The 8,157-nt window shown below is 35.3% G+C and overlaps 1 protein-coding gene across 1 annotated transcript; it reads right to left on the bottom strand.

Moving 5' to 3' along the window:
- Positions 1 to 854: 854 nt before the first annotated feature.
- Positions 855 to 1,793, bottom strand: OR2M5 (olfactory receptor family 2 subfamily M member 5). The gene has a single exon (NM_001004690.1). It carries the CDS (start codon positions 1,791 to 1,793, stop codon positions 855 to 857), a length of 939 nt encoding a protein of 312 aa, NP_001004690.1.
- Positions 1,794 to 8,157: the final 6,364 nt, after the last annotated feature.

Genomic DNA, 8,157 nt, shown 5'->3' with positions numbered 1-8,157 from the left:
TACACTCTTGGTGGGAATGTAAACTAGTACAACCACTATGGAAAACACTGTGAAGATGGAAAACACTGTGAAGATTCCATAAACAACTAAAGGTAGATTTACCATTTGATCCAGAAACACCACTACTAGGTGTATACCCAAAGGAAAAGAAGTCATTATACAAAAAAAGTATTTGCACACACATGATTATAGCACCAAAATTTGCAATTGCAAAAATATGGAACCAACCCAAAAGCTCATCAATCAACAAGTGAATAAAGAAAAGGCGGCATATATATATATATACACCATGGAATACTATCAGCCAAAAAATGGAAAAAATATTAGCATTTTGCAGAAACCAAGATAGAATAGGAGACTATTATTCTAAGTGAAGAAATGAAGAAATGGAAAACCAGACATTGAATATTCTCACTCATATCTGGGAGCCAGGCTATGAGACACCAAGGCATAAGAATGATACATTGGACTTTGGGGACCTGGAGAAAAGGTGGGGGTGAAGAGGGATTAAAGAATACACATTGAGTACAGCGAACACTGCTTGGGTGATGGGTGAACAAAAATCTCAGAAATCACCAAAGAACTTATTCATGTTACCAAACACCATCTGTTCCCCAAAAACCTATTTAAATAAAAAAATTTAAAAAACTTTAATGTCATTATTGAAAATGCCTTATATTGTAGTAACAACTGAATTGAATATAAAACAAGAAATATTTAAAATAGTTTATCTGAAATAGATTATATAGGTGCCCGTTTATGTACAAAATGAAAGCTATTTTGAGGACTTAATGGAAAAAAAGGGACAGTTAAAAGAATTTAGCAGACAGCAAAGCATAAAGTTTACAAAGTACTCACTCTCCACACTTGCCCTTTCCTAACACTTTCCTGAGTGCTCTGGTCACCTCCTTGTTGCGGAGGCTGTAGATGAGGGGATTCAGCATGGGAGTGAGGATGGTGTAGAATACAGACACCAGCTTGTCCTGCATAGGGGAGCGATCAGATGTGGGCCGTATGTACATGAACAAACCTGCTCCATAGTACATTCCCACCACCATGAGGTGAGAGGAACAGGTAGTAAAAGCTTTGCGACGACCCTCTCCAGATCCCATGTGAATGACAGCCAGAATAACTCGAGCATAGGAAGCGATGATGATTGCAACAGGAAAAACAATCATTACTATACAGCAGATGAAAAGAACCTTTTCAAATATTGATGTGTCATTGCATGAGAGGATTAGTAGGGAAGGGAAGTCACAGAAGAAGTGGGCTATTTCCCGAGACCCACAGTAGGAGAAGGAAAATGTCGCTACAGCATCAATGATTGCATCCATAGAGCCCAGGATCCAGGAGAAGGCAGTCATAAGTCCACAAATTTTGGGTCTCATGAGATTGGTGTATCTTAGAGGGTGGCAAATGGCAATATAGCGGTCATAAGACATAACAGCCAACAGAAAGCATTCGGAGCCAAGCAGTGATACATAGAAGAAAATTTGTGTGGCACAACCAGCCATAGAAATGGACTTGCTGCCAGACAAGTAGTTGAAGGCCATCTTGGGTACGGTAGAGCAGATGAGCATGAGGTCCATGAGGAACAGTTGACTGAGGAGGAAGTACATGGGGGTGTGGAGCTGGGTGTCCAGGTAGATGAGGAGAACCATGACAGAGTTTCCCATGAAGGCCACTGAAAAGATGGCCAGGACCAGAAAGAAGAGGAAGGTGTGGGTGGGGCTGTGATTGAAGATTCCCAGGAGGATGAAGTCAGAGTTGAAGGTCTGATTCTCCCATGCCATGATGAATATGTTTTTTACCTAGTAACACAAAACCAGTTCATTGATTTGGTAAAACTTTACCCAGTACCTTATAAAGCATGTGATTTTGGTAAATTTTGCAGGTCAGTGATCAATACAGTATGACCAGAAGTAAGAAACTAAAAGTTCAAAAAGTATAGAATCAGAACAAAATGTGTTCTTTCAGCACTGCCTCACTGATAAAATTATGGAGCCTGTCCTAAGTTTCTCTTCCGAGTGTCCTTTTTCTCAACTGAAATATTAGAATAACAATATTCAATACATTATTGATGGAGTTTTTCCAAAAAGAATATGTCTCCAAAGCAAACAGATACTTCCTTAGAAATCAGAAGTCTTTTACAGATACGTTGATACAGCAATTCAGCTTTAGTCAGCATGTGACCAACACAATAGTAGAAATTGAAAGTAAATTTGTGTCTTTGTTCACATTATAGTAGGCACTTTTCTACCAGTGTTAACAGAAACTGTTTGGTTGCCTATTACTTTACAGTTTAGAGTATTTGATCTACTCCTCATAGTGAGTTTTCTATACACTAAGTGGATACACCGAAAGGATTTTCAATTATTCAAATCTAAAACCTAGGCCCTTTTTTCTATAGCCCTGTGTTATGGATTGAATTATATTTTTTTTGTCAAAAGGATATTCAGGATGTGAGCTTGTTTGGAAAAACATAAAGACTGTAATTAGTTAAGGTGAGGTCATATTGGAGCAGAGCGCGCCTCTCTAATCCAATATGACTCATGTTCTGATCAGAGGGCGGCCATGTGAAGACTGAGGCACTGAGGATACCATGTGATGGGGGAGGCAGGGATTGGAGTGGTGCATCTGCAAACCAAGAAATGCCAAAAACTGTTAGTTATCACAAGAACCTGGGAGAAAGTAATGGGAAAGATTCCTCCTCTTAGAGCCTTCAGAAATAACCAACCCTGCTGACAACTTGATTTCAGATTTCTAGCCTGCAGAACTGTGAGAGAACAAATTTCTGTTGTTTTAGGTAACCAGTTTGTGATACTCTGTATTCTCATTCCTAGGGAACTAATACACCCAATATCTCCTCTGAAGAATAAGTACAAAGAAAAACGGAATTTCAGAAAAGCATGAGATGCATGCTTTCGAAACATGCTTATGAAGCCTGGCTATGTGTTGAGCACTGGGGCTACCACAATAATCAGAACAAAGAAGGCCCGTGCCCACACAGGTCACAGGGAGTGAGGCCAGATGATGACATATAACCCACTTTATGTCACAAGAGGATAAACGCTTCAGAGAAAAGCAAGTCAAAGAAAGGTGTTCGAATTGCAAGAGCACGTTCAACTTTGAGCAGCGTAGTCAAGGGAAACCTCACATGTCTAGTGGCATTTCGCAAAGACTCTGAGGAAGTGAGAAAGAGACCAGATCACAGGAAAGGTTTATCCATATATGCATTCCACAAAATGATATGCAATAATTAGAAGATTTTGGGAAAACATAGGGTTTTCTAATTTAGAGTTATATTTCTTGCATGTTGTGGCATTTAGATTTTATTCTATGAGATAATTCTACATGTATCAGCAAAGCCAATTTGTGAAGGAAAATTATTCCAGACAATAAAAAATGATGTCATAAACAGAAAGACAAGCCTGTTGAGTAGACTCATTTGACAGAAATGCACTTTTTATGCTTATTCATGCATCACATTTTACTGAAGGGACTAAAATCAGCAATAATGGAAGCTGAATAATCTAGGAGCAACAAAGGAGTTAGAAGAAATCTGCAGAGGAGATGGAATCTTGAATTCGGCCTGATGGGTTGAAATACAATTTTTTAAATATGAGGTAGTAAAGTATACTTTTTTGAGTTTTATTTATTTAAATAAATTGTGAATAATATTGTGGGTAAGAAAGAAAAAAAATACTCAAAAGTAGTTTAAATTTTAATTCAACAACAACTGTGACCTGAGAATACAAACCTACCAAAAAATATCTCTTCAGTGCTGGGAAGATAGAGAGGGAACCTCCTTATGGGACTCTCATGAAATAGAATAGCAATTTTTAAAAGAAAAACAAATCATTTTTCTCAATCAGTATGAAGAGAGAAACAGGATGCAACTTTCCTCCATTCGGGTTTTAAAACAAATAGTTATCAAGAAGTTGGATAAAGCTGATTAGTGGTAGCTCAGATCCAGGTCCAGTCAATGTCTTCAGAATGAGAAATGGGCATCTCTGGGATCTTTAGTGTTGAGGGTTTCCTACCACAGAGTTCCCTTGTTTTGTCCTCAGGAGGAGGTGCGCTTTTAAGGTCAATCAGGAGAAAAGACTTTATATTGCCTCAATAATTCCCAGTACGTATTGGCTGAATTCACTTCAGGAAAATAACTCATCTCAACTTACTTTATGGAACCACCTATTGTGAGCATCATACCATAGTATTCCCAGTTGCCTTGATCTTGTCAACTGTTGTAATACACTAATTTATGCAAACAAAACTGTATTGACTCAAATTTCCATCATAATTTTTCTTTAAGTAGGTCTGCAATATTACTCCAAGAAGGAAGCTATCTGGTCAAGTTAGCTTGTTCCTATGTTTCTTTTTAAGTTGGCAAAGTGTTCTTTACATTTGAGAATCATTCCTTCCCAGTCACTAAATTGAAATAAAATGTTGAATAATTCTACTCGATCATTTAGACATTTTTACCACATATGTTTTAAACTCCACTGAATGATGAAGCATTAAAACAATTGAATAACGAATGTAAATCCACATATCCCTCTGACTTTTCTCAGTTACATTAGCTTAGGCTGAATTTATATAAACTCACTCTTATTTGTGTTGTATTTTTTCACCTCCCTTCATTGCCTCAAAATTCCCTTCATACCCATGTGTTAAAATTGTCTTCATTGAGTTTGTCCTGTCACAGAGACTGTGGCAAGATATATCACAAATTTATAACAATTTATAAGTGATAAAATTGAAAATATTGAGCACTACATTGCCTTGTACCTTCTATATTAAGATTCATATGAATATTTATTCAATAAAATTCTAGAAAGAGAAATAGTTGTTACTTGTGAGAAAATTAGAGATTTCTTCGAAGTTAGTAAGATACATATGACAGATTGTGCTTACTTTTAGGCACTAAGAATATGAGACCAAATTCTGAAGCTCAGTGTAAGCTATCCAAGATGTGTTTGTATTCTTATAAAAATGGGTTTGTGGTGAAATATTTTTTGCAACTCTAATTTGTGCAGGACTATTCACTGCCAAACACAGCAGGACATTTGAGTTGCAGCACTGTACTAGGAGGAAAATAAAAAGCAGCTTTTTCAGAATGGATCTGAAACTATGACATATTGATTTCAATTTTTTTCAGAATATCTATCAACATCTCAAGAGTGTTCACATAATGATGTACAACATTTTGAACTCTAGACATAGCCTTCCAAGTATTTATTTTCCTTAGTTGTAATATCATGCTTCTATTTTTATTTATTTTATCTAATCCACATTGTATCTGTTGTAATTAACTCCATCATTTTGTAAAAAGATCGTGCATACATTTAGTTTTTTCCAGTGTCTTTTTATACATTAACCTTATTACATCTGGAAGAGGAGTCATCAGATTTCATGACACTGTGATACTGTGCACATGTCCAGAGCAATATAACACAGAACTTATGAAAATCCTGGTCATAATTCATGACAGTGTGATACTGTGCACATTCCCAGAGCAATATAACACAGAAACCATGAAAATCATGTTCAGAAATTGAGAAGTTACTGAGTTAGATGATGGAAAGGAGACATTGAGTGGACAAAATTTTATTAAAAAAAGAAATAAAGCAGTTCTGAAATATTGTCAGACAGCATGTGTAATCCACTGTAGTTGCTAAACTGACTTTACACTTTTGTAATAATAATTAACCCTTTTGTAAGAGGAATGATCAGGAAACAAAAGAAAACAACAAATTTCTCATATTAGCAAAAATGAGCATAGCAACTTTATTTGTAATATAAAACCGCTCCCTGCATGCACACTGAAAATGGAATTTATAACCAAAACTACAGGAAGTAGCATTGATGAGTCTCACAAATAGAATGTTGAATGAACAAAGTAGATCACAGGGAATGACTTCATGAATCCTATTATGAGTAATTTAAACACACATATAAAAATCTATTATAAAGCACAGCAATACTGGAATAATGATTACCTACAAAATTGGCCTGAAAGGTTACATGATCACAGAGAGATAAGCTGTGTTTCAAAAGCACTGGTAATATTTTAAAGCATTTTACAAAATGTATATCCAACATATTTGTTGTAAATAAACATTTTTGTATACTTCAAGTTTAAAAACATATTTAAATGATAGGTGTAAATGTCTTAGAGGAGCACATGACAGATGTAAGCATTCATTAATACAGGTTGAGGATTCCTTATCCAAAATGCTTGGGACCAGATGTGTTGCAGATTGCAGATTTTTCTCACACTTTGAAATATTTGCATATGTATAAGGAGATGTCCTGGGAATGGAACCCAAGAGTGGAGACAAAATTAACTTATGTTCTATGTATACCTTATACACATAGCCTGAAGGTAATTTTATGCCATATTTTAAAATAATTTTGTGTAAAGGAGAAAGTTTGTGTACACTGAACCATCAGAAAGCAAGAGTGACACAGTCTCATGTCAGCACTCAAAAAGATTCCGATTTGGGAGTAGTTTGGATATTAGATTTTTGGTTTAGGAGTTCTCATCCTGCATGAGCTACAATTATTAAAAGAAAAGAGAATGTGGCCAAAACTTTCAAATCATGTCCCACTCTCATCTGCTACTTTTCTCCTCTGACTCCCATTCACTATCAATATCTTTTACAAATCTAGAATGCCAGGACATGAAAAAACAAAAATAATGGATTTTATCCAATCTTTCACATTGATAAGCTGGGACAGGTAACCACTCCTTCTGCCTCAGGTTGTACCACATTTCTCAAAGTCATATTGTACAGATAAAATAGAATAAAATTGAAAAAATTCTCGGCCCAAAAATGACATAAGAAATGAAATCAATCATCAGCACATTCAGCAGAAATTTCAGCACTAGCTTATACCCAGTCTTGTTTGCGCTTGGTTAACTTACATCTTAGTACTTATCTGAATAATGTGTATTTTCAGTAAGATTGTAGGTTCCTAAAAAGGCAAAAATATATGAATATCTGACATGTTTTTATGTTTCCATCATTAGGAAAAAAGCACCTAACATACAGTTGGAATCTTTATTGTTATTAACAAATGAATGAAAGGACAAAAACTTAAATTTTTAGCCCTTGGGGAATCCATTCCCTTGTCTTTATCAAAGTTTGTATTTCCTTCTATCTCCTCTCTTAGGACATGAAGCCAAATTAGCTTCCTTTTCTTGAAAATACTACAAAGATAATTATGCCCCCTTCCCTGTAGATCAGTGGAAACTTTCTGAAACTTCTCCCTCTCTCTCACATGATGAGGTGAAACACACCAAGTGCTTTCTGTATAACTGGCACTGTGGTTAAAAAAAAACAAAACAAAACTGTAAACTCACATAATACCTACAACCATTGTGTATGCCAGATACCCCTATTAGACACATGTATATATTATAATATAATATCTTTAATTATACTGTCATTTTTTTTACATGTGAAACTGAGGGCAGAAGCTTAAGTAAATTGACTTCAGTCGCAGAGCTAGAGAATGGCAGTCAGGGCGTTCAGGGCTAATATCCTTCCTCTTCTATGGTTTCTCTTCACTGTTCCTTCTGCTCCATCATCAAAGCAAGATATGCTTGGGTAGAACTGGCACTTTTAACATCTTGAGGTTCCCTACATAATTCTAATTCTATATGTATGTTCCTTAATATGCTTTCTATCCCTTAAAACTACTGTATATATTTTCTGTAAAAGTTATTATTATAAAATAAAATGTTCATGGGAATTTTCTTTTTTGTTGCTCTAGCGTATGGAATATTGTGTGTATTATTTCTTCTATTTCTTTTAGTTAATATATAGAAATCTATTAATTGTTGCTTATAGGCCTTGAATCCAAGAATGCTATTTTTATTTTTGTATTTCTTATTGCATAGAAAAATGCCTGTATACAACGGCTGAACAACTTTAGATCGCTTTCCAAATTAATCTATTTTTCCTTACTTCATTGATTAAAATGTATATTGTTAAAATGTTGAAGAATAATATTAATGAGTACCTTAAGCCTTTAGCAATTATGGTTCTCCATTAGATATAGTGTTTGTCTGAGGCTTAGGTAGATAGATTCAGCACATTAGCAAAATCCCATTTTATCTCTTTTACCAATGCTTTGTTCAATAAATGT

This window comes from Homo sapiens, chromosome 1 (assembly GCF_000001405.40).
Source record: "Homo sapiens chromosome 1, GRCh38.p14 Primary Assembly".
Taxonomy (NCBI): Eukaryota; Metazoa; Chordata; class Mammalia; order Primates; family Hominidae; genus Homo; species Homo sapiens.
The sequence above is the reverse complement of the archived record's forward strand: the minus strand, read 5'-3'. Positions and strand labels throughout refer to the sequence as shown.

Bases quoted from the DNA above. Each gene is read 5' to 3' on its own strand.
- OR2M5 (NM_001004690.1), bottom strand. From the start codon at position 1,793: ATGGCATGGGAGAATCAGACCTTCAACTCTGACTTCATCCTCCTGGGA.